The sequence below is a fragment of the Homo sapiens genome, chromosome 22 (assembly GCF_000001405.40).
Source record: "Homo sapiens chromosome 22, GRCh38.p14 Primary Assembly".
Lineage (NCBI taxonomy): Eukaryota > Metazoa > Chordata > Mammalia > Primates > Hominidae > Homo > Homo sapiens.
The window spans coordinates 41247987-41273560 of NC_000022.11; the positions used below are offsets into that span (position 1 = coordinate 41247987).

The window sequence follows — 25574 nt, forward strand, 5'->3', positions numbered from 1 at the left end:
AGGCTTAGGATAGCACAGGGGCTGCCAGGGATACAGAGGGAACTACTCTGACCAGGGGGCAGGAAGGACACAAAGGGCTCAGGCGCAGACGGGGGCTGGGGCCACTGGCCAAACAAGCTCTGGACAGCATGGGCAAAGCTCGGCACTGCAGCAACAGCACTGCTATGGAAAGGGGCTCAGGGAGAGCACACTGTGCTGGGGTGGGGTGGGGTGGGGTCGGGGTGAGGCTGTGGCCAGCCATGAGATTCACAGTGAGGCTCTACCTAGCACCTGGCAGAGGAGGGGAACAGTGAGATCTGCCATTCACCAAGGCCAGTCCAGCTGCAGCCCAAGGGGTGGTCTGGTGTGGGGGAAATGCGGCCAGAAGGTAAGGCCTGGCTAAGGAGGCGGCGCCATGCAGACACTGGAGTGGACAGGGCTGCCGCGGCACCAGCTGGGTGCTGGAGGCCAGCGGGGGCCGCTCACGCTCCGCCAGCCCCGCCTCCCCACATGCACCAAGTATCCTGCCTCAGCTGGTGGGCTCTGGGCTCCCCCAGCAAAGGGACTTCCTTGCTCCTCTGCCTGCCCCATGTCCCCGGATGGCGCCGACTGACTGGAAGTGTGGCTGGTCAGGGCGCTTGGAGACAATCTCACCTAACCCCCCGGTTGGACAAATGGGGAGACTGAGGCCTGATGAAGGCCACAGGTTGGCCAGGGGCCACACAGGGCCTTCAGAGGGCAAGCCTCCCGACCCCTCCCTGGTGGGGCCTTGCCTCTCTTACTTGACTGTGCCCATCACCCCATCAATGCCCCGGGACACCCCAGGACCCTCCAGAACAAGGCCAAGGTTCACACATTGCTGGGCATTTGGCAGCTCCCGTGGCAATGTGTGTCCCCAGGAGAGGGCCCGGGGCTGCAGAGCCTGGTGTGACCAGGCCCCTTTGGCCTGCGCTGCTGTGAATGTGGACAAAAAGCCACTCCGGAGATGTCACCAACCGCAGCACCTCGCTCAGCAGACATGGGTCTGGACACTGGCCCAGCCTCTTGCTAGCGTGTGACCAAGGGAAACTCCTTAACCAACCCAGTGCTCCTCATCTGCACAATGGGGGCGCCGCATGTCTCCTCTCTCACTGTCCCTGAGCCCCACTGTCCTCAGCTGGGCAGAGGGGAGTGGGCCTCCCAAGGGTGGTGAGACTCCAATGCAGATGCTGAGAGCCCAGGAGGCATGAGGGCCTCTCATGCACCTGAGTGGGGCCAGCAGGCTGGCTGGGCTGGGGCTGGGCCTCCCGGAACCGGGCGCCTTCAGACCTGGCCAGAGAAGCCCGAGAGGGCAGGCACCGGCAGAAGGACAAGGCCACACTCACTTGGTCACGAACGCCAGCAGCAGGGGTGCAAGGGCCTTGGGGAAATAGTCCTGCTGCACCATGTGGTTCAGCGCCATCAGGGGGCCGTACAGGTTGGCAATGGCCTTGACCTTGTCTTCACTCTGAGAGGAACACAGCGAAAAGCGGGGTGAGCTTCAAAGTCACCTGGGGGGGCCCCTGGACTCCACCATCCAGACTCTGCTGATAGTGCCCACAACTGAGTCTAGCCGGAATCTCATCGTGAAGACCAAGGCTGCTGGGGCAGACCCAGGCCTCGGGGCCCCGTGGGCGAGCCGGCTCAGGACTCGAGGTGAGGGAGGTTGGCGGGCATGGCTGGGGCAGCTTCTGTGCAGACCCCACCCACCTCCCTCCCGGGCCTGCTGTTCCTTCCGGCCTCACCTTGAGCAGACCCATGTGCACGAGCAGCCTGGTGAGGAAGGTGTTGGAGTTGAAGGACGAGGAGTTGAAAGCCTTCTGCATCAGGGCATCTGTAGGGCAGAAGCAGCAGGGGCAGGCTGCTGGCTATGGCAGAGGGCTGGGCCAAGGCACCCAGGGTTCCCCCAACACCGCGCAGACACAGGCTCGCCTGCCTCCTCGCCCTGACGAAGAGGCGAACACGAGAGGGACGGCAGAGACACAGGAACCAGAGGGAGTGGCAGTTGGCATCAGGGGATGGGCTCAGTCCATCTGCCAGCTGTGACACTCTGGCCCTTGCCCATCCTGGCCTCAGGTATAAAATGGGCATGGGGATGACACCCACTGTGCCCACCTCACACCGTGGGAATGGAGATTTCCTGAGGCAGGCTACCACTGGGGAGGATTCAGGTTATTTTGGCAGGGTGAGGGGATGTGCAGGGACTGTGCTAGGCTTCCTGGGAAACAGAACTAGGGCAACTTGTTCCCAAAAATGCCCACAGGCGGGCCCTCAGGGAGCAGGCTTGTGTCTGGCCCCCACCTCCTTCCGAGCCTCATTTCCCACTGAGCCGCCCTCCCCGCTTCGACGCCACGCCGGGAAGAGGCACCACATGTCCTTCCACCCCTTTCTATCTTTTCCAGGAACCGTCCCCCTCGCCTCAGGGCCCTTCCTCCCCTCTGCCTAACCGGAACTGGCTCAGGTTTCGTTAGATGTGGAGGCTCAGTCAAGCACATGGAAACAGGGTGGAAGGTGACAGGTGCTGGAATGGAGGAAACAGACAGGGTGGGGAGAGGGTTGTGATAGGGCTGGAGGGATATGGGCTGGTGCTCCAAGGAAGCCCCCATAATGTTATGGGGAAAGGTGTCCTCTGTGCAAGGAACCTCCAGGTAGAGTGGACGTGAGCACAGAAGCTCCAAGGTGTGGACAAGGGCTTGGCTCTCACCATCCCTCCTCCCGATAGACCTGCGTCCATTGGGCTTGCAGATGTGACTATCTGGACTTCCTAGAGCGGGCTATGGGTTCTAACTGTACATGGCTGTGTGGATTTGGGAAAGGCCTCAGTTTCTCAGTGGTGAAAAACAGGGAGAAGAGCAGCCAGCTGGCTCCACGGCAGGACCCTGACGGAGGAAAAACTCAGGTGGCCAAAGAGCAGTTCCCATGAGAGCGCTGGGGCTGACGAGTTACGGCAACCACGAAGGATACCTGGGGCCCACGAGCATCAAGGGACAGAGGGCACCCAGGTCTCACCCAGCCCACATTACCTACTGCATCCTGCACTGCCATCCTCACAGTAGCTTCGTCCTTGAACACAGATGACACCTTTAGGAAGGCAGAGACCACCTTCTCGGGGTCAGACGTGTCAGTCTGAGGACAAAAGAGACAATGGTTGGCCTGTGGCACGTGGTGGAGAGGTACCTGGGCTCTGACGCTAGCTAGGAGAGGCCTGGGCAGTACAAAGGCCCCTGGCGGGCAAGAACAGGTCCTGCCTTACCCCATGCTGTCCCTTCAGAGTCTGGCTTGGATTTGGCCTGCAGCAAGCACATATGCAGCATAGAGAGGGAATGAATGAGTGAATGAACAAGGATGAAAAATCATCCCAGCCGGGTGTGGCGGCTCATGCCTGTAACCCCAGCACTTTGGGAGGCTGAGGTGGGAGGATGGCTTGAGGCGAAAAGTCTGAGACCAGCCTAGGCAACATAGCAAGACCCCATGTCAACAAAAAGGAAAAAAATTAGCCAAGGTTGGTGGTGTGTGCCTATAGTCTCAGCTACTTGGGAGGCTGAGGCAGGAGGACTGCTTGAGCCCAGGAGGTCGAGGTTGCACTGAGCCATGATTGCACCACTGCACTCCAGCCGGAGTCACAAAGCAAAACATTGTCTCAGAAAAAAAAAAAAAAAAATCATTTCAGGGATCCAGTGGTCCCCATCTTGTAATTGAACTTGAAGAAATAATCTAGCATGTAGACAATACTCACATGCAGAAACGTTTACCTCAACCTCACAACAGGGAAAAGTGGAAAAAACGTCAGAAACAGTGCCTGGCTTTTAAGTGCTACATCCACACATTGCAATAAAAATCCTGAGAAGAGTTTTATGGGCACAAGAAAGTGATGAATGGTGCTACACCAAAGTGATAGGCCACAGAAAGGCTTACAACATCTGATTTATCATGTTAAAAGAAACAAAGAATACAGGCAAAACCTAACAAAGCAATTGGCCGAAATGTTAAGCCAACTCTGAGAGTGGGCCCATTTTATTTCTCTGTAACCTCCGAGCCTCCGCTTTCTTATCTACAAAATAAGGGCTGGCCGGGCACGGTGGCTCATGCCTGTAACCCTAGCACTTTGGGAGGCCGAGGTGGGTGGATCATGAGGTCAGGAGTTTGAGACCAGCCTGGCCAACGTGGTGAAACCTCGTCTCTACTAAAAAATACAAAAATTAGCTGGGCGCGGGAGGCTGAGGCAGGAGAATTGCTTGAACCCAGGAGGCAGAGTCTGCAGTGAGCCGAGATCGTGCCACTGCACTCCAGCCTGGGCGACAGAGTGAGACTCCATCTCAAAAAAATAAATAAATAAATAAATAATAAAATAAAGTAAGGGCAGCAGAGTCTACATTTCATGTTGCCAAGAGGGTTAAATAAAATCATGCCCAAATGCAGTGCCTGGCAGAAAATGGATGCCCCGAAGATCATCTATGAATGAATGAATGAGCCAACCAACAAGTGAGGCTGGAGTGAGGGCACCCATCCTGCAATAGGCACGTCACTTCCAAAGGAGCCCTGGGCAACAGAGTTGTTCTCGAAGCAGCTGGGCTGACGGAACACGCAGAGAGAAGCCAAGGAGGGGGTGGGCACATGCAAGGCTCTTAAGGAAATTCCCTAACCCCAGTCAGCATGGGAACTGGCGGGCTGTACTTTCTGTAGGCTGAGTGGGGAGGGAACATTTGCAACCCCTGGAGGCTTATAAATACCCTGGACATTTGCGCGTGTTGTAACAGTGGCAGGCCAAGCCTCCCTGCCCCCAGCTGACAGCGTCGCACCCCCAGGTCTCTGAGCTGTTCGTCCCTTTTCTCTAACAGCTCCAGAAGCCACAGCACGTACAGCGTGGGGGTCGAGGGGTGGTTATTACCTGCTGGGCTATCAGCACGGAGCTCTTGGGCCCTAGGCGCAGCAGCTTCTCTGGAGAGGGAAAAGCCAGGAAGGTGGAGACGTCTGCAGGAGGTGGGGAGGACAGCACGGGAGCTGGCTCCTGGGAAGTAGGGGCACAGAGGCTCTGGAGAATTCCGGACCCCAGACTCCCCGACACAGCTGTGCCCATCCCCACACCCAGCACATCCACCCTTCACTCCAGCCCATCTAGGCTCAAAGTCTAGAATTCTTCCTCCCACTCAGCTGCATTTCCCATCTATCAATATCACCCAGAGATGCTGGCCCTGGATGGCTCTTGGTCCAGGAGCCTTTGGGGTGAGGGGGAAGCTACCTCCCTGGGACTCAAAAAACCTGCTACGGCCAAGTGGATCCTCGTCATGACATGCAGTGCCCCAGAAATGACTACGGAGGCACATGGGGGCTAAAGTGGGTCCCCGTAGAACTACAGTCCAGCCTGGGTAAGCCCTGCTAGCACCAGAGGTGCCCAGAGGAAAAACTGAATTGAGGCGAACCTAGCCATTTGTTTAATTGATTCCATAAACCAGAGAAGCAGCCCAATTCAGCGTAAGCATGGGGAGTCCTTGTCCAGAGCCAAGTTCTCCAGGAGCTTTACTTAGGAACCTGACAGGGAATGCAAATGAATGAACTGGAGGTGTGGCAGCCCTGATGCAGCCCCGGGCCAGACAAGGGACACCAAGTGCCCAAGCCAGGTCATGGCCCAGCCACCATCCCAGGAATGGGGGAGTGGTTCCTAAGGGTCACCAAGACAATCCTCTGGTGGGTGGGGAAAAAAAAAATCAGAATTTCTATTTATGCTTATTTGTTTATTCTTTCAGAAACCCTTATGCATATCTTATAATATACATAATGCAGCAGCACTGCTACCTGTAAATAGACATTTATATTGGGGTAAATAGAAATATAGGTAACTATGGCTGGGCCCGGTGGCTCAATGCCTGTAATCCCAGCACTTTGGGAGGTCGAGGAGGGTGGATCACCTGAGGTCAGAAGTTCAAGACCAGCCTGGCCAATATGGCGAAACCCCGGCTCTACTAAAGATACAAAAATTAGCCAGGCGTGGTGGCAAGCATCTGTAATCCCAGCTGTTTGGGAGGCTGAGGCATAAGAATCACTTGAACCCGGGAGGCAGAGGTTGCAGTGAGCCGAGATCACACCACTGCACTCCAGCCTGGGTGACAAGAGTGAGACTCCATCTCAAAAAAAAAAAAAAGAAATATAGGTAACTATCATTACACTGGGACCATTTTCCTTTTTTTACTCAATATCATGCAATCAAAAAAAAATGTTTGTGGCTACTGTGCTTAAGGAGACACCCCCTACCCCATTGTGAAAGTGCCTCGGGATTTCACGTTCTCAGGACCAGGGCTCTGATTGTGGCAGATGATAGAAACTCACCCCAGTGTTAGGGTCCAGAATCTTCCGTGAGGGCGTGGCTGACTTCTCTCCCTGCCCTCGCTGCTGAGGCTCTTCTTCCTCCTCCTCCTCCTCTTCTTCCTCCTCTTCCTCATCTTCCTCCTCCTCTTCTTCTGCTTCCTCTTCTTCCTCTTCTCCTTCCTCCTCCTCCTCCTCGTCCTCGTCATCACTGCAGAAAGAGCTGGCTGAAGCAGATCCTCTCTACCCAGCAGCCCAGGTTGGCTCTAAGGCCTGGCTCCATGAGCCCAGAGACCTCACCTCAGCCAGGAGGGAGAGAGCCTGGTGGGGTGGGAGCACCTGCTCCCAGGGCAGGGGCAGGTGGATCACCAGGGAAATCCATGCTGTGGACACAAAAAAATAAGATCGGCCCGGCGCGGTGGCTCATGCCTGTAATCCCAGCACTTTGGGAGGCCGAGGTGGGTGGATCATGAGGTCAGGAGATCGAGACCATCCTGGCTAACGTGGTGAAACCCCGTCTCTACTAAAAATACAAAAAATTAGCCGGGTGTGGTGGCGGGCGCCTGTGGTCCCAGCTACTCAGGAGGCTGAGGCAGGAGAATGGCGTGAACCCTGGAGGCGGAGCTGGCAGTGAGCCGAAATTGTGCCACTGCACTCTAGCCTGGGCAACAGAGCGAGACTCCATCCCCCACAAAAAAACAAAAAAAAAAAACAAAAAAAAATCAGATCTTGTCCCTGTCCTCAAGGAGCCCCAGGTTTCATGGAGAGACAGAAAACGAAGACAGCTTTGTCACACCTAGAGCCCAGGGCTTGGCAGGAACACTGCCCAGGTTGAGATGCCAGGGCAGGGGCGCCCACATCCACATGACCTCAGGAAGCTACAGGTGTGGGGGAGGAAGAAGAGTAGGGGTGTCCTTGCCCCATAGGAAGGCTGGACCATTTCCCAGGGACAGTGGGACCTGTGAGGTTCAGCCCACCTCGGAGTCCCCAGTTCCTAGCCTCAGCTCAGGGCCTAGCACCGAGGAGACACGACTGAGTATCTGACACACGAATGAGGCCGACTTGGAGATGCGAGGGGCACAGGGAGCCCGATGCTGATGGCCCAACCGGACTTGGATCCAGGAGATGGCCACTCCCCGGCCACCCACCTTCACCTCCAGGTAGACTCCCCAGGCCCCATGGTCTCTTCCTTTCTAGAGTCAGCGTCTTAAGAACAATCCCGAGTGCAGCCCCTTCTGGCTGCCCCCACCTCCCACCCCCATCACTCCCCAGGCCCCACCACATCAGGATGAGATCTGGCCTCACCCCTTCAGAGGCCTCCCCAACTCCACCACTCTACAGGGTGGCCCCGCTCAGCCCGTACGAGCTCCTCTGTTGAACGGACAACTCATTCTGTCTCCACCCCACGAGACAGAAGCCCTGACTGTCCCATCCTTATAGCCCTGATGCCTAGTGTATGACCTAGTACGTAACAGGAGTGCACCCAACGTTTCTGAATAAATACAAGTAGAAACAAATAAAGGGGCCAGGTGTGGTGGTGGGTGCCTGTAATCCCAGCTACTTGGGAGGCTGAGGCAGGGGAATCACTTGAACCCAGGAGGTGGAAGCTGCAGTGAGCCGAGATCACGCCACTGTACTTTAGCCTGGGGAACAGAGCAAGACTCCATCTCAAGAACAAAAGAAAGAAAGAAAGGAATGGCCTGACCCCGACCTCTGGGGCCACCCCGAGTTCCCTACCTGAGGGACGCCAGCACCTTGGCCATGTTGAAGCCCTCCAGCACCTCCTGAAGCTGTTCACAGCCTTCTTCTCCCAGGGTGTTGCCTGCTCAAGGGGAGGGAAGAGCAGTCAGCCGGGGTGCCAGGGCCAGCCTAGCAGACCTGTGCAGAGGCCTCCCCCATCCGACTACCATTCAGGTCCAGCTTCTCCAGCTCAGCTTTGTCTGCCATGGCCTCAGCAACAGCCAGGGCAGCATCCCTCTTGATTTCACAGAATGACAAGTTCAGCTCCTGAAAATAAGAGGAAGGGTTGGAGGCAGGCAGAAACCCGGGCCAGGACACCAGGTTCTACTCTAAGCCTCAGTTTCCCCAAGTGAGGATATGGCAGGCTCTGTCCTCCAGGTGGGGCAAAGTGGGCAGGAAGAATAACACCAACAACAAAAATAATGCCCTGCAGCCAACGATGAGTCACGTACTGTGTTTACTTAAATCACAAGACAGTGATGTACACCACTCCCTGCCTCCCGCTTTAGAAATGAAGAAACCATGGCTCAGAGGGGTGTGGAGGCTCACACAGCATCACAGGGCCCGAAGTGGAGGAGCTGGGATATGGACACAGGCCCACCTGCCTTCAGACCAGACCCCTGTGCCCCCAGCCGCCCCACCACCCACAGACCCCAGAGGGAGGACGTCAGGCGTCCAGGCTGGCACCTTTAGCTTGGGCAGGCCGCCGCGGATGGCATCTGCAATGGCAACTGCACCCTTGGAGCGCACCAGGCAGTCCCCAAAATTAATCACCTCCACCTGCCGCAAGGTCTTCAAGGTCTGTGAGGGGGAAGCAAGGGTCCAGAGTGAGGGTGCAGACCACACCCCAGCCCTCAGCAAGCCCCGGGGGCCCCACACGGTCACATCCCAAGCCAGCCACCACACACTGTCCTCCTCTGCAAGTCACCAGCTTTGCCGTCTTCTACTTGTTGGCCTCTGGGCCCCTGGCCAAACCTCCTCCACCCCTCCCCATGTTACGGCCAGAACTCTTCCTGAGACCAACCAAGCAAGGTTCCTGCTGAGCATCCGGGTCTTCCACACGTAAGCTGATCCCTCTGCCTGAAACACCCATCCCCCACCCTCTGTCCAGAGAAAGACCACTTGCCCTATACAACTTAGCCAAAATGTGATCTCTTCCAGGAAGCCTGCCCTAAGTCTGATTTGAACTTCCTTCTGGCGTGTTCCCCAACACCTGCACACATCTCTGCTAACACACAGGCAGCCGGACTAGCCTTCTGTGGGGCCACGGGACCCTGGCAGCCAAGAAGCCACTGCGTTCAGAGCCCAGCACTGTTACCACTGGCAGCTTCCTTCCCTCCTTGAGCTAGGGTCTCCCTGAAGGCGGGGTCTTTGGCTCAACCCCATGTGGCCTGCACTTGGTACAAAGCCAAGCACTAAATGGGGACTCAAAAAACAGCTGCTGGGCCAGGCACAGTGGCCTGCACCTGTAATCCCAGCTACTCAGAAGGCTGAGGTGGGAGGATCACTTGATCCCAGAAGTTCAAGACCAGCTTGGGCAACAGTAAGATTCCGTCTCAAAAAGTGATAATAAATAACAAAACAAACAACAGCTGCTGAACAAATCAACCAGGAAAACAGATGTGGGGAGCAGTCTGCTCCTGTGCAGCCTGAGAACAAACCAGCGGCAGCCGCTGGGGGCTGCAGAGGCGGCTCAGGAGAAGGTGGCATGAAGAATCAGAGCTGCCCGAGGAGGGCGTGGGTTACCTTGGGACCTGCAACCCTGTTCAGGACATGTTCAAAGAGCTGGAGCCATGGGGCACACACCCAGGGGGCAGGCAGGGGGTAGAGGAGTCCCTGCTAAACGGAGCCCCAGCTTCCCTGGAAAGACAGCAGCCAGCCTCTATCTGGCGGGGCCCAACTGGCTCTGCCACACTCGCCTCACCTCGGCCATGGCCACGGCGCCCTTCTCAGTGAAGGTGTTGTCATTCAGGTTGATGACCCGCAGCAGGGGGTTGACAGCGAAAGCCTGGGCCAGGGCAGTGATGCCAGGGTGGTTGATCCCATTCTGTGGCATGTGGACCTCCTCCAGGGTCCCGATGACCTGTGAAGAGGAGGCAGAGAGTGGAGGGGGCCCCGAGTGCCAGGTGACATCCAGCAGGCAGGAGAGCAATTCCACACAGCAGGCACAGGAATGGGCTGCCGCCAGCACAGGGCAGGGGCCTGTCTGTGGGATTTTGGGGCATGGCTGCATCTAACTCTTTCCACAACCTCCTGAGGGAGGCCTACTGCCTGGGATAGGATCCCCACCAGAGAAAAGACTAGGGATCAAAGAGGCGAAGTGACTTGCCCAGGGTCACAGAGCTCTAGATCCAGCAGGTCGATTTCTTGTTCTCAGTCTGGTGTCCTCAGCACAGTGGGGACCCTGGCTGTGGTGGGCAGGCACTCATGCCCCTTCTCTGGATGACATAGCTCCATGTGACCTTTCTTTCTTAGGGGCCCTCCTAGCCCACCCACCTACACAACATAACCCCTTCGACATGGCGTCCTTCTCTAGGGATGAGGAGGGTGTTCCCTGGCCCATGCAGCCCTATCACAGCCTGGCCTTTTGATACCCATTCTCTCTGCCTCCTTATTTTCTTTTTCTTTTTTCTTTTTTTTTCCTTTTTTGAGACGGAGTCTCGTTCCGTCGCCCAGGCTGGAGTGTGATGGCATGATCTTGGCTCATCGCAACCTCTGCCTCCCAGGTTCAAGTGATTCTCCTGCCTCAGCCTCCTGAGTAGCTGAGATTACAGGCGTGCGCCACCACACCCGACTAATTTTGTATTTTTAGTAGAGATGGAGGTTTCACCATGTTGGCCAGGCTGGTCTTGAACTCCTGACCTCAGGCGATCCAGCTTCCTCGGCCTCTCAAAGTGCTGGGATTACAGACGTGAGATACCACACCCAGCCATTCAGCATTTTCTTGACAGGCTAACTCATATGAGTTCTAGGGCTCTTGTTTTGGTCACCTCCTCTCCCAGGAAGGCTTCCTGGATTCCCCCAGCCACGATCCAGTGTGCGTTCCTCTGTGCTCCCGGAGCACCTGGTCCCTCCTCTATCACGGTGGTCCTCATCCTGCCTACATTCAAAGCCTATATTCCGTCTGCATCCCATCGGCCCCTGAGCTTTGGAGGAGAGGGCCATGTCCCAGTCTCCACTGTGACCCAGGACTGAGGGTTGGCCTGGCTTAACTGTGCCAAGGAATCTTCTGCTGTCTTCAGGTGCTCAGTGCAGCACAGGGCAATGGGGGGAGCGGGTGGTCCACAAATAAATACAGGAAGGCCAACCTGGGCACACTCCAGGTCAGGCCTTCTTAGTATTTTCTGTGCCATGAACCCTTCAGGCAGTCTGGTGAAGCCCCTGGGTCCCCTCCTCAAAAAATGTTTTTTTAAAATTTTAAGATAAATTACACAGAATTACAAAGGAAATCAACTCAGTTGGAACAGTTATCAAAACATTTAGGAAAAAACTCCAAACGCATGCTGTAGTGATATACAAACTTCTTGTTAATGCACCAAATAACAAGATCTAGGGGTGGGTCCACTATTACTGTAATTTTGATGTAGTGAGAAATATTTCTATATATCAGCAGTAACTATAACTTCATATGAAATACCTGTGATTTCCACTGGGGATAAAGTCACAAGATTTTCTTTTTATTTTTTTAAAAATTTTAAGCTGGGCGCAGTGGCTTATGCCTATAATCCCAGCACTTTAGGAGGCCAAGGCGAGTGGATTACCTGAGGTCAGGAGTTTGAGACCAGCCTGGCTAACATGGTGAAACCCCATCTCTACTAAAATACAAAAATTAACTGGGTGGGCATGGTGGTGCACACCTGTAGTCCCAGCTAATCGGGAGGCTGAGGTGGGAGGATCACTTGAGCCTGGGAAGCTTCAACTGCAGTGGGCTGAGATTGCACCGTTGTACTCCAGCCTGGGCAACAGAGCGAGACCCTGCCTCAATAAAATTTTTTTTTTTTTTGGGTTCAGGGACTACATGTGCTTGTTTGTTATGTGGGTAGTCACAGGCCTTTCTAATGCTGTGAGGTTTATTGTCTACATTTATAATCAAAGGTCACACTACATATTTTAGCTACATTAGTAATAAATAATAATGTTATTTTTTCCTCATCCATGTTCACAGACCCCTGAATTCTATCCACATACTGGGGGGGATTAAGAACCCCCATTCTAAGCCCACCAGAGGACACCTATGAAGGCTCAACACAACCACAGCGCACCCCCTCCTCCCAGTGCACTGAGGACAGCAGGCTGACGGCAGGGAGGGATCCAAGGATGGCAGTGAGGCCCCCACCAGCTCCAGAGGAGGCAGCAGGAGCTCCCCTGCAGCCAGGGGTGCAGGGAGACACAAGGCAGATCTCTGCGATGTTCACTTGGCACTGAAGCAGGCAAAGGGTATCTACAGACAGCCTCGATGGGCAGCCAGGACATTCCGGCCCGTATGAGCAATGCTCCTAGGATACTGTTTGCTGAAGAAAACATTTAAATTAAGAGAAGAGGGGCCGGACGTGGTGGCTCACGCCTGTAATCCCAGCACTTTGGGAGGCCCAGGCGGGCAGATCACTTGAGGTCAGGAGTTCGAGACCACCTGGCCAACATGGTAAAACCCCGTCTCTAATAAAAATACAAAAATTAGCCGGGTGTGGTGGCGGGTGCCCGTAATTCCAGCTACTCGGGAGGCTGAGGCAGAACTGCTTGAACCTGGGAGGCGGAGACTGCAGTGAGCCAAGATCACGCACTGCACTCCAGCATGGGTGACAGAATGAGACTCTGCCTCAAAAAAAACAGGAAAGAGAGGAGGGAGACAGACCCCAAAGTTTTCAGTCCTGTTAGGGGCAAGTGTAGCCTTCTGCTGGCACTCACGATCGGGGACTCAGCAATGTCCTGCGGGGATGGGGAGAGGAGAGTGGAAGAGGAGTGGGGATAAGGTCACCTGAGAGCACGTCATTTGGCACCTGAGCCCTGCGGCTGCCCCTGCCTATCTCCCTGTCTTGGAGGTCTGGTATGTTCCTTCTCTGTGCCCCACACCAGTGGCTGGGCCAGGCTACTGTCAGCACTCGCACCATCTCACTTCACCACTTCTGAGCCTGGCAGATGACACTCCTTGGTCAGAGTGGCCTGCCTGGCCTGAAGCCCCATAGGGGCTGGCTCACCAGTGGGAGCCAGTCACACACCTTTCCGGAAAGTCACACACCTTTCCAGAAATGCACGACAGGAATTCTGGCTCATTTTCGGATGGGTTAACAGGCTTGGAGAGGGCACGTGACGCCCCAGGTCTCTTGGTTGAGTGCCAGCCCTGGGATTAGCATCCAGAACTGTCAGCCTACTATGCCGAGTGCACCTCAAGGCTGCAGGGGCAGGATGGACAGAAACCACTCACCCTAAAAGCTTCTGCCAAGGCAGTGGCGCCATCATTCTCCAGACGGTTTCTGCCAGCCACAAAGACCTTCAGGGCCAGAGGCTTGCCTTGGGCACTGGATTTCCGGTGACATTCGGTCAGAGCTGCAGCCAGGATCTGTGGGGAAAGGCAAGGGGCCCTGGTCATGGGCAGGAGCCCCTTCTCCCAGCGGGGTGGCCACTGCTGCTGAACTGCTCTTCAACATCCCACGCCACCCATCGGTGCAGGTCAGGGGACGCAGGACTGCTAACAGCTCAACAGTCACACCTTAAATATGTCCAGCACTTCAGTTACACAAGGTTTTTATCTCTAATGCTGTGTCACACCAGCCTGAGAGGTTTAGCTTCACTTTCGAGACGGGGAGACCAAGCCCTACTCAGGAAAGGGAGAGACCACATGGAGTGGATGAACTTTTAGCCAGGTCCAGGGGAAGGACTTCCTAGTCAGCTCACTTCACTGTCTAAGGCCCTCTGCTAGGTGGGAAAATCATGGCTCCCATTTTCCAGCTGAAGAAACTCAGGGTAAGAGGAACGGAAACTTTCTTATGGTCAATAAACAAGTGGTGGACTCTGGACCAAAGCCCAAATCTTCCAGCTTCTCTTCCACGTTCCACAATGTCCAAGGGAGCCAGCTGCCAAGTCCACGGTCCAGACGAACCTGTCTGACACCTGCCTGTGCCTAAAAGCTGGCCAGGCACAGCAGGAGCTTGCCTGCTGGTGGTAAAAACCTAACACCCAGCTTGCCCTGTCCCTGGTGTGGTGCCAGGAAGTAGCTTCTACCCTGGTTACACCATTAGGAAAAGCACTGAAAAACGGAGACTGACCGATGGGAATCAGAGCCCATGGTAAATGCGACATAAAAGAATCACGAGCGAGTGCACCGAGAGAAGTGATATTTGCAGAACACCTGATGTTTGCAGAGCACCTGCTAGGGCCTGGGCATCCTTGGCATATTTTCTTGTTTCAACCTCAACACCAGCCTGGGAGGCAGGCAGGATTGGCCGTACTTTACAGATGAGGAAGCTGAGGCTCTGAGAGATGAGTGAATTGGCCAAGGTCACCCGGTAAGTATTTAGCAAAGCCGCACATGGCGGGTGGGTTGGCCTAACTCCTGGCATGAGACTGCACACAGCCATCCTTGAGGAACAGAAGAGCCAGCACCTGCCTGACTCCACGGTGGTGATGGTGGATCACGCACACACGATCACGCACACACTCAGGGTAGAGACATCAAACTTCTGCCAAAGACCAGCCTCTGAGGAAGCTACTCAGCAGCAGCAGCCGACTGCTAGGTCACCCCCATTCTCCCAGATTCCCTGGAGGCCACGTGGTGATGGCCTTAGCTCCTGCAGGAGTCCAACTTGGGTATGGAGAGTTCTCAAGCACAGGGCCATGCCTCTTGCCCCACCAACTCCTCTGGGCCCTTCTATTCTCATGGTGCATGGCACAGAAACCACACTAAACACACTGCCCAGAAGAAAAAGATTCCAAAGGACCTGCAGGCCTTGGTTAGACACCCAGACCATGGCGTCTGAGCTCCCAAGAGGCATAGGTCAGCAAGGCCGAGACCCAGAGACCTAATCAAATCAGTGGTCAGGGAGGCACAGAGAACCATCAATCAAACTCCAGGGTAGGCCTGTCTGCCCAGGAGGCCCTCTGGTCCTGGGTCCAAAACTCATTCCCCAACTCACCCCATTACAAGTATAGGACAGGCCAGACAACTCCTGGCCAGTAGGAAAGCTCCCTGAGCCTCAGTTTCCAGGCACTGCTGGGCAGGAGAAGGGAAGTAATGGAAGGAAAACCGAAGCATTTTGCTAGAATAGAGTCTCTGGCTCTCCCAGCGTATGCCACTCACTCTAGGTTGGGCCACGCCTGCTTTCTGTGCTGACGCAAACGTTTTTATATGTTTCTGTTTGTTTGTTTGTTTGTTTGTTTTTTTGAGACGGAGTTTTGCTCTTGTTGCCCAGGCTGGAGTGCAGTGGCGCCATCTCGGCTCACTGCAACCTCCACCTCCCGGGTTCGAGCAATTCTCCTGCCTCAGCCTCCCGAATAGCTGGGACTACAGGCACCTGCCACCACACCCAGCTAATTTTTGTATTTTTAGTAGAGATGGGGTTTCACCATGTTGGCCAGGCTGGTCTCGAACGCCTGACCTCAGGTGATCTGCCCGACTCGGCCTCCCAAAGTGCTGGGATTACAGGCATGAGCCACTGCACCACCGTGCCCGGCCCATTTTTACATCTTAACACAGGGATAGCTTATTGCCCAAGTGGACTTGGGGGAGGGCTGGCTAAGGCAGGCACAGAGCCTGCCCCTGCTCACCCTCACGTCAGGCCGAGGGACACAGGCACCCTCTGCAGGGGAGGCCACTCCAGCTCCTCAGCCTGGGGCTCCATGGGCCTCACAGCACTAGCTATGTGATCCACTCCACCCCATCTCTCTAAGCCTATGCTGAGTCATGTGGAAAAACTGGGATGGCATCAGCCACCTTTCAGTGTGGGTGGGAAAAGTTAAGGTATTGCATATTCAAATAAGATATCCCCAACTGCTGTTACTTCTGTGTCCCCAGCCCTTTTCTCCCTTTGGTTAGAAAGTGTGTGTAGGGGTTGCAGCCTGGCACTCAGTGTCCTCCAACCCTGGGTCTAAAGGCACTGGGATGGAGTTGGAAGAGAATAATACGGCAGGCCGCCCTTGATGCAGGTTCTGGGAAGCAAAGAAGCTCCACTCTACACTGACCAGCCCAACGTGAAGCTCTACACTGACCTTGCCTGAGGACACCTCCCTGGGCAAGGCCCTGTCTAGGAATAAAGGTGAGCTGTGACGGTGCCCCCCCTGAGCATATGCTCCTCTTTTCAGACTCCCTCTGCCTATGTGCCAGGCTCTACCAGCTGCTCTGCGGGTACAGTGAGTATAGGGATGCCCCAAGCCCTGAGTTTTGCAGAGCCAGCAGGCTGGAGCAGGTATGCAGTGGCACTCCCTCTGCGTTGCCAAGCCAACCCAAGAACTGGGGATGGTTGCTTGGCAACCCCACCCTCATGGACGCCTCTACCCTCCGGCCACAGGCTGTTGCCTTTGAGGCCTTTCTCTTTTGAAAACAACGGCTGACCATCCCAGATGGTGGTGGCCAAGGGCCAGGGCACATATGTCAGACGGATGTGGATGGACCAGGGGACTCTGCGGGGAGGGGGCTGCCACACCCACCTTGCCGCCGCCAATGCCCATGCCACAGTTGTTGAGCTTGAGTTCCTGCAGGGTGAAGCAGGCTGAGCTCTTGAGCAGGGCCTCGAAGCCTTGCACACCGTCGGGCCCGAATGCGTTGTCGCTTAAGTCCAGCTCCACCAGCTGAGCCCCAGCTGTGATGAGTCCTTCCCCTAGTGAGATCTGGGCACAGAGGAAGCTCGTGTCAGTTTCATAGACACCCAGCTTCTGTGCTGGGTGCTGCTTCTGTGCCAGGCCCAGCTCTGCCTTCCAAGGACACCCCGGCTGGTGCAGAACCAACACAGACACAAACCATTTCAGTATTCTTAAGACTGGAAACCCTGCAAAGGGCTCCTAACAGCTGGAGAGTGGGGGATGCGTATGCCTGGAGTGGCCCGGGAAGGCTCCTTGTAAGAGGTGGCATTTGGACTTAGTCTGGATGAGAATCAGCTAGTCAACATGAAAAGACTCCAGGCAGCTGAAAAAACAGGAGCAGAGAGACATAAGCATGAAGCAGCAGGCTGTGAGCCTGGAGGAAAGCTGTGGGTAGGCTCCAGAAGAAGCCGTGGCATGGGCTTTGGGTGGAAGGGAAGTGAGGGGTCAGATCAGGCAAGAGCCTTGAATGCCAGGCCAAGGACTGTGAGCCTCAGCCTGAGAGCAGTGGGCTTTGAGGTGGCTGAGGGATATGGAATTAATATCCCCAGACCTGAGGTGAGCAGATGCACAGAAAGGGGGGCTGGAGTGCCCACCCAGGAGTGTGAGGCAGCGACACTGGCAACAGAGGGGACCTGCCAGCCGGTGTGACAAGTGTGGGAGAGGAGCTGCCTGTTCATGGAGCAGGGGACATGCAGAAGCTGTTGGTTCCCTGTTCGTGCAGGAGGAGGGAGGGAGGAACCACAAATGCCTCCAGGGTTTCTGGTGGTGACTGGCAGATGGAGGTGGCCATCTCTAAGCCACGGCCAGGATCAGCTTTGACAGGGTGATTTGAAGCTCTCCTGGAAACCTCCTGGGCTGGGGAGAGCTACATTCCCTCACCCCACCAGGAGAAATGGTCAGAGAGGAGGCTCTGCCAGAGACTGGGTCAGAAATGGGGCTGAGCAGGTGGTCCATGGGGGCAGGAATGTGGAAGGGAGACTTTCTGCCCTCACCCTGGCCACAGATATGGCAGATGAGGCAGTTTCTACCATCCTCCCACCACTCAGTAAGCAAAAGGCAATGTGTCCTCTCGTTGCCCTACCCACAGAAAGCCTAGCCCCTGGTGGCTGGGTGCGGTGGCTCACGCCTGTAATCCCAGCACTTTGGGAGGCCAAGGTGGGCGGATCACGAGGTCGGGAGATCGAGACCATCCTGGCTAACACAGTGAAACCCCATCTCTACTAAAAATACAAAAAATTAGCCGGGCATGGTGGCGGGCGCCTGTAGTCCCAGCTACTTGGGAGGCTGAGGCAGGAGAATGGCATGAACCCGGGAGGCGGAGCTTGCAGTGAGCCGAGATCGTGCCACTGCACTCCAGCCTGGGAAACAGAGTGAGACTCCGCCTCAAAAAAAAAAAAAAAGCCTAGCCCCTGGCGATCTGGCCTCAACTGACCTCTAGCTGCTCAAACACCCTGTGCCTACTCCACCACATGCCATCTTCTAACCCCAAATTCTCTTATCCCCCTCTTAAGATTTATTCTCACGATTGGGAACATAGAGATAAGAATACTTTCTCTTCCCCATTCCTACAGAGTCAAGTAAAAGAAAACAAAAACCAAAAGAATACCTTCTGAAAGCTCAGGGAAATGAAATGCTAAAATTTAGGCAAAACTTGCACAGTGAGAATTCCACAGTGAGTATGCAAAAGAGAGTTCTCTTCACCATCTTTTCTGACTTGAAATTCTTTTTTTTTGAGATGGAGTCTCGCTTTCTCTCACCCAAGGTTGCAATGCAATGGCACAATCTCAGCTCACTGCAACCTTCACCTCCCAGGTTCAAGTGATTCTTCCGCCTCAGCATCCTGAGTAGCTGGGATTACAAGGCCCCTGCCATCACGCCCAGCTAATTTTTGTACTTTTGTAGACACAGGGTTTCAGCATGTTGGCCAGGCTGGTCTCCAACTCCTGACCTCAGGTGATCCACGTGCACCGCCCCCCACCTTGGCCTCCCAAAATGCTGGGATTACAGGCGTGAGCCACTGCGCCTGGCCTAACTTGAAATTCTTTAACATGCAATCACTGAAATGAATTTCCTTTTTTTTTTGAGACGGAGTCTTGCTTTGTCACCCAGGTTGGAGTGCAGTGGCATGATCTTGGCTCACTGCAACCTCCACCTCCTGGGTTCACGCAATTCTCCTGCCTCAGCCTCCCAAGTAGCTGGGACTACAGGCAGGTGCCACCATGCCAGCTAATTTTTGTATTTTTAGTAAGACGGGGTTTTGCCATGTTGGCCAGGCTGGACTTGAACTCCTGACCTCAAGCGATCTGCCCGCCTCGGCCTCCCAAAGTGCTGGGATTATAGGCGTGAGCCACCACGCCTGGCCAGAAATGAATTTTCTTAACCTACATTCCAAATCCTAGCCTCACAAGCCAGGTGCAGTGGCACGCACCTGTAATCCCAGCTACTTGGGAGGCTGATGCGGGAGGACTGTTTGAGCCCAGGAGTTCAAGACCAGCCTGGGCAACAGAGCAAGACCCTGTCTTTAAAAAAAAATAAAAGGAGGTTGGGCGCAACCAGGGTGAGGGGCTCAGTAACATCAATGTGCACACTCATCACTGACCAGAAACCTGCACCCTCAGGGCCTGCCGTGTGCAGCCCCGTGCCAGGAGGACACACTGAGAGGCTGCCGACCACCAGCCCTGCCCTCTTCCCTTGGCCAGGCATGCCTTTCTGTGTTCTGTGTTGCCTCTTTCTATTTCCTTCCACACATATGCACTCAGAGACTGGGAACTCGACCCAAGCCAGTCTGAGCCCTGGGAATGAAGAAATGGGAAGCCACCCATGACGGGCACAAACCAAAGCAGACAGTGGTACGGAGAAAGGGAGGAGCCAGAGAAAGATGGGGACGGCTACATGGGCTGTGTGCAGAGAAGTCATGAAGGAGCAGGACTGCGAGGTGCAGGAAGGGGTTGCCAGGAAAGGCGGGGCAATCATATTGGGGTGAAATCCACAGTCAACCAAGCCAAGCAGCTCAGGAGGACCCAGGAGTGCATGGTCTCAGCTCTCCCACCTCCCTGAAGTCCCCACCCTTAGGGTTCCTCCCCTGTCAGTCTCTGTGCTCCCACCCTCCCCTCCTGTCAGGACACAGGGCACGTGCTGGACTTGCCGGGCTTCCATTCCAGCAGCTCAGTCACCCACAGGGCTAATCTTAGGCTCCAGAAAGAATAAAGCATGAGAAAAGCCCTGGGAATTGCCAAAGAGGGCCTTGCGCGTGGAGGGGAAGAGCGGCTAGTTCGCTTACCAGGGCTGGTGGGATCTCGGTCCGCAGCCTTCCCGTGAACATGTCACTCCAGTGGCAGCGCTGCAACGGAAAGAAGAGAAGAGTTAGCGGGAGAGAGACCCCTGGAGGCCCATAGTGAAGCCTCATCCTGGTGGATTTGAACTACCAGAGCATCACAAGACTTTTTTCTTTTTTTTGAGACGGAGTTTCGCTCTTGTTGCCCAGGCTGGAGTGCAGTGGCGCGATCTCAGCTGATCACAATCTCCACCTCCCGGGTTCAAGCAATTCTCCTGCCTAAGCCTCCGGAGTAGCTGGGATTACAGACGTCCACCACTATGCCTGGCAAATTTTGTATTTTTAGTAGAGACAGGGTTTCTCCATTTTGGTCAGGCTGGACTTGAACTCCCGACCTCAGGTGATCTGCCCACCTTGGTCTCCCAAAGTGCTGGGATTACAGGCATGAGCCACCGCACCTGGCCCCCAAGACTTAACTTGAGCTTTGTTTGTAAAAAGCTGGACCCATTCTGGCTGTAGTTGGTGGGACCTGGAGGCCAGTCCTCAAATCAAGAGGCCTCCAAGAGTTATTGGGGGCTCACAAGTGTCAGGAAAATCCCTGACTTGTACAACCCTCTAGGTGGACGTGTGACGTGGTTATGGATGACAGAGAAACATGAACATAAACAACACAGAATTCTACGTTGAGGGCCAGTGGCTCACGCCTGTAATCCCAGCACTTTGGGAGGCCGAGGCGGGCAGATCACTTGAGGTCAGGAGTTCCAGACCAGTCTGGCCAACATGGTAAAACCCCTTCTCTACAAAAAATACAAAAATTAGCATAGTGACGGGGACTTTTTAACAAAGGGAGAGCAAGCCTCAGGCTCAGAGCCATTAAACAGCAACAGCATCAAATAATAATTCAGTAACACTATTTTATTTCCTTTATTGTAAGGAATGTCAGCTTTCCATTCATAGAAGTGCTTTGAAATTACATGAAAGTTTGCTGTTTTCTTCGTTTTTTTTAAGAGATAGGTTCTCACTCTGTCGCCTAGGCTGGAGTGCAGTGGCAGAATCATAGCTCACTGTAACCTTGACCTCCTGGCCTCAAGTGATCCTCCCACCTTAGCCTCCACAGTACCTGCTATTACAGGCATGTGACACCACTCCTGGTATGATTCAAAGAAAGTATTAGGCAATTCATAAAGATAGTAGATTGGTAGTTACCAGAGGCCTGGAAGGTTAGAGGGAGGGGAGGCTGAAGAAAGGTTAATTAATGGAGACAAGTATAAAGTTGGAAGAAATAAGACCTAGTGTTCAATAGGTCAACAGGGTAACTATTGTTTACATTAATCTATTATATATTTCAAAATACCTAGAAGATGCCGGGCATGGTGGCTCACACCTGTAATCCCAGCACCTTGGGAGGCGGAGACAGGCAGATCACCTGAGGTCAGGAGTTTGAGAGTAGCCTGGCCAACATGTCAAAACCCCATCTCTACTAAAAGTATAAAAATTAGCCGGGCATGGTGGTGCACGCCTGTAGTCCCAGCCACTCTAGAGGCCACTCATTTCAGCAAGAGAATCGCTGAAAACCGGGAGGCAGAGGTTGTGCTGAGCTGAAATTGCGCCACTACACAGCAGCCTGGGCGACACAGAAAGACTCTCTCAAAAAAAAAAAAAAAAAGCTGGAAGAGAAAAATTTGAATGTTCCTAGCATAAAGATAAATATTTAAGGTGATGGATACCTCAATTACCCTTATTTAATTTATTTATTTTTGAGACAGAGTCTCACCCTGTCGCACCCAGGCTGGAGTGCAGTGGAGCAATCTCGGCTCACTGCAATCTCCGCCTCCCAGGTTCAAGTGAGTCTCCTGCCTCAGTCTCCCAAGTAGCTGGGATTACAGGTGCCCGCTACCACGCCCAGCTAATTTTTTGTATTTTTAGTGGAGATGGGGTTTCGCCATATTGGCCAAGCTGGTCTTGAACTCTCGACCTCAGGTGATCCACCCACCTCAGCCTCCAAAAGTGCTGGGATTACAGGCGTGAGCCACCGTGCCCGGCCTATTTTATCTATTTATTTATTTTTTAAGACGGAGTTTCACTCATCGCCCAGGCTAGAGTGCAATGGCCTGATGTGGGCTCCCTGCAACCTCCACCTCCCAAGTTCAAGTGATTCTCCTGTCTCAGTCTCCAGAGTAGATGGGATTACAGGCACCCGCCACCGCGCCCAGCTAATTTTTATATATTTTTTAAGTAGAGATGGGGTTTCACCATGTTGGCCAGGCTGGTCTTGAACTCCTGACCTCAGGTGATCCACCTGCCTCAGCCTCCCAAAGTGCTGGGATTATAGGCATGAGAGCCACCATGCCCAGCCCTCCCTTATTTTTTATTTTGAGACAGGGTCTCACTCTGTCGCCCAGGCCGGGGCGTAGCCATGCAAACACGGCTCACTGCAGCCTCGACCTCCCAGGCTCAAGCCATCCTCCCACCTCAACCTCCCAAGTAGCTGGGACTACATGTGTGTACCAACACACCCAGCTAATTTTTGTATCTTTTGTAGAGTTGGGAATCTCCCTATGTTGTCCAGGCTTGTCTCAAACTCCTGGGATCACGTGATCTGCTCCCACCGTACATACTAAGGAAGCTGGTTTTTGCAGAAAAATCCGCATATCCACCAATAAAGCAGACCATGAACACACCTGGGGCCTCAGCTGTCTGCTCTACACCAGATCTGCTTAGTAGTTCCACCTGCACGTGGGTCCACAGGGCCAGGAACAGGCAGCCGGAGCCGGAGCGCCACAGTCCCTCACAACAGATACCGGCAGGTCATTCGGAACAAAGCTCCCCAAACCTAACTCTAATGAGCTGAACAGTCAGCATAGGACTCTAGGGCACACCGCCTGGCTTCCAATCCTGATTTAGCTGACTCCAGCCATCACTCCCCCTCTCCAGCCTCTGGTATCCTATCTCTGAAATGAGGTTTTAGGTCCTAATGATCTCCCACGAGAACAGCAAAGCAGTTAAGAGCTTGCTTGGGTTGGGCACATTGGCTCACGCCGATAATTCCAGCACTTTGGAAGGCCAAAGTGGGAAGACTGCTTGAGCCTAGGAGATCAAGATCAGACTGGGCAACAAAGCAAGACCCCATCATTAAAAAAAAAAAAAAAATTAGCTGGGCATTGTGGCACACACATGGTCCCAGCTACCTGGGGGGCTGAGATGGAAGGATCACTTGAGCCTGGGAGTGCAAGGCTGCAGCAAGCTATGATCATGCCACTGCACTACAGCCTGGGCAATGGCGTGAAACTGTCTCTAAAAAAAAACAAAAAAAAAAAACAAAAACGCCGGGTGCAGAGGCTCACGCCTGTAATCCCAGCACTTTGGGAGGCCGAGGCGGGCGGATCACAAGGTCAGGAGATTGAGACCATCCTGGCTAACATGGTGAAACCCGTCTCTACTAAAAATACAAAAAATTAGCCGGCATGGTGGCAGGCACCCGTAGTCCCAGCCACTTGGGAGGCTGAGGCAGGAGAATGGCATGAACCCGGGAGGCGGAGCTTGCAGTGAGCTGAGATCACGCCACTGCACTCCAGCCTGGGGACAGAGCGAGACTCCGTCTCAAAAAAAAAAAAAAAAGAGCTTGGGCTGACACCTGGACTCCACCTCAGCCTACTCCTAGTTGTGTGACTCTGGGCTACACTTCTCTCGCCCGTCAAGACCTCACTCCTCACTTGCACACTGCTGCAGCAGCAGAGAGAACCCCTCTGGCATCAGCACTACGCCCGGAACACTGGGCCATCAAGGGCAGATCCCACCCTGCCCCTGCCCTGGGCTGCTTCCTGCACAGAGGAGGGCCTAGGAGGTGGTGTGCAGTGATTCACTCGAGCCACTGCATCTGTAGCAGGCGGGAAGGTGCATGCAGCACTCCTACCGGCCAGGCTCTCCCAGGACAACCTCTGAGGAAGAAGGAAGGGCTCTATCTCCTATTTCATATAAGAGCCCAGCCTCAGAGCTGCACGCAGGGCAAGGCCACGTACGGCAAACAAGGTGGTGCTGTTAGGGCTTGATCCCATGTGCCGAAAGCAAGCTCAGCTCCTGCTGAGTCCTGTAGCCTTCAGGCCCATGGCTCCTTCATTCCTGTTCTTCACAGGTCTCGGGGAGGGCTGAGTTCTGAGTTCTTTGGTTGGAAAACATCCCAGCTTATGCTCAGGGAAAGTACAGGCCCCAGGCAGGAGAGCAGAAACAATCACTGTCTTGGTGGTTAACTTGACCATGACCTTCCTAAGGAAACAAATATGTAGTGCCACTTTGTAAACTAGTTTGCAGGCCCTTCCGGCGTGAATCCTCTCATGGCCCCCAGTCCCATATTCCTCCTCCTGCAGAAACTGGCACCACAGAGAGAACACTGATCTCAGGAGTGTGATGTGTGGCTTGGCCACATCTCTGCTATTTTTTTTTCTTTTTTTTGAGATGGAGTCTCGCTCTGTTGCTAGGCTGGAGGGCAGTGGCGTGATCTTGGCTCACTGCAACCTCTGCCTCCTGGTTTCAAGTGATTCTCCTGCCTCAGCCTCCTGAGTAGCTGGGACTACAGGCACACGCCACCACACCCAGCAAATTTTTGTATTTTGAGATGGGATTTCACCATGTTGGCCAGGATGGTCTTGATCTCTTGACCTTGTGATCTGCCCGCCTTGGCCTCCCAAAGTGCTAGGATTACAGGCGTGACCCACCAGGCCCGGCTTTTTTTTTTCTTTTTTTGAGACAGGGTCTTGCTCTGTCGCTCAGGCTGGAGTGTAGTGGTGCAATCTTGGCTCACTGAAACCACTGCCTCCCAGGCTCAAGCGATCCTCTCATCTTAGCCTCCCAAGGAGCTGGGACCATAGGTGCACACCACCATGCCGGGCTAATTTTTGTACTTTTTGTAGAGACGGGGTTTCACCATGTTGTCCAAGCTGGTCTCGAACTTCTGGGCCTTGGCCTTCCAAAGTGCTGGGATTATAGCTGTGAGCCATCGTGCCCGACTGATCGTGGCTATTTAATGAGCCCCTCTGAGCCTCAGTTCCCTTGACTTATAAATGGAGACTCAACCCAGTCTCTTCCCTGGTTGCTGTGAGCAGGCAATGACATGCAGAAGAGCCCAGCCCAACCCCAGCCATGCACATATGAAGAGACAATGCCATTCTGGAACTCTGGTCTCTCTCCCTCATGACTTTGGAATTTCAAAGAGAGGGGAATACCCAGTGACATCTCCCAACGCTTTGAACATGACACTCTTGCTTTTCTCACAGAGCGTATCAGAAGACTGGTGTTTAGGAGAACCTGTTTGGGGAACACGGGGCTAGAATAACCTGACTTGCCCTTTGCGTTGGCCAAAAAGGGCACCACTTGGATCTAACCTTCAGGAGAACTTGCCAGCCGCACGCAGTGGCTCACGCCTGTAATCCCAGCACATTGGGAGGCCAAGGCAGACAAATCACAAGGTCAGGAG

General features: G+C 54.2%; 1 protein-coding gene and 1 non-coding gene across 13 annotated transcripts in view, besides 5 other annotated features; both read right to left on the bottom strand.

The window, feature by feature from the left end:
• The window catches only part of RANGAP1 (Ran GTPase activating protein 1), a 57591-nt gene that overhangs the window by 3208 nt on the left and 28809 nt on the right, over positions 1–25574 (bottom strand). For 11 of the 12 annotated variants that reach the window (NM_001317930.2, XM_006724289.5, NM_002883.4 and 8 more), the window contains 12 exons: positions 20111–20170; positions 16678–16857; positions 13460–13594; positions 9962–10120; positions 8725–8838; positions 8205–8304; positions 8035–8119; positions 6322–6508; positions 4886–5005; positions 3021–3123; positions 1743–1831; positions 1344–1465 (listed from right to left, as the gene is read on the bottom strand). In NM_001317930.2, coding sequence (NP_001304859.1) covers positions 1344–1465; positions 1743–1831; positions 3021–3123; positions 4886–5005; positions 6322–6508; positions 8035–8119; positions 8205–8304; positions 8725–8838; positions 9962–10120; positions 13460–13594; positions 16678–16857; positions 20111–20170 — 1454 coding nt within the window. Of the gene's footprint in view, positions 1–1343; positions 1466–1742; positions 1832–3020; positions 3124–4885; positions 5006–6321; positions 6681–8034; positions 8120–8204; positions 8305–8724; positions 8839–9961; positions 10121–13459; positions 13595–16677; positions 16858–20110; positions 20171–25574 lie in introns of those variants that run through there. The other variant, XM_011530297.2, reaches the window with a different exon arrangement.
• MIR6889 (microRNA 6889) lies at positions 5006–5064 on the bottom strand. Its single transcript, NR_106949.1, has one exon. It is a non-coding gene; the product is annotated as a microRNA 6889 (primary transcript).
• Positions 8391–8934: an enhancer, noted in NCBI's record as "H3K4me1 hESC enhancer chr22:41652381-41652924 (GRCh37/hg19 assembly coordinates)". NCBI's record gives its function as "activates a minimal SCP1, AML or CMV promoter by ChIP-STARR-seq in naive H9 embryonic stem cells {active_cell/tissue: H9 hESC(naive)}" and the evidence as "EXISTENCE:reporter gene assay evidence [ECO:0000049][PMID:30033119]".
• Positions 8935–9478: an enhancer, noted in NCBI's record as "H3K4me1 hESC enhancer chr22:41652925-41653468 (GRCh37/hg19 assembly coordinates)". NCBI's record gives its function as "activates a minimal SCP1, AML or CMV promoter by ChIP-STARR-seq in naive H9 embryonic stem cells {active_cell/tissue: H9 hESC(naive)}" and the evidence as "EXISTENCE:reporter gene assay evidence [ECO:0000049][PMID:30033119]".
• Positions 10023–10565: an enhancer, noted in NCBI's record as "H3K4me1 hESC enhancer chr22:41654013-41654555 (GRCh37/hg19 assembly coordinates)". NCBI's record gives its function as "activates a minimal SCP1, AML or CMV promoter by ChIP-STARR-seq in naive H9 embryonic stem cells {active_cell/tissue: H9 hESC(naive)}" and the evidence as "EXISTENCE:reporter gene assay evidence [ECO:0000049][PMID:30033119]".
• Positions 16134–17009: an enhancer, noted in NCBI's record as "H3K27ac-H3K4me1 hESC enhancer chr22:41660124-41660999 (GRCh37/hg19 assembly coordinates)". NCBI's record gives its function as "activates a minimal SCP1, AML or CMV promoter by ChIP-STARR-seq in primed H9 embryonic stem cells {active_cell/tissue: H9 hESC(primed)}" and the evidence as "EXISTENCE:reporter gene assay evidence [ECO:0000049][PMID:30033119]".
• Positions 24001–24501: an enhancer, noted in NCBI's record as "H3K4me1 hESC enhancer chr22:41667991-41668491 (GRCh37/hg19 assembly coordinates)". NCBI's record gives its function as "activates a minimal SCP1, AML or CMV promoter by ChIP-STARR-seq in naive H9 embryonic stem cells {active_cell/tissue: H9 hESC(naive)}" and the evidence as "EXISTENCE:reporter gene assay evidence [ECO:0000049][PMID:30033119]".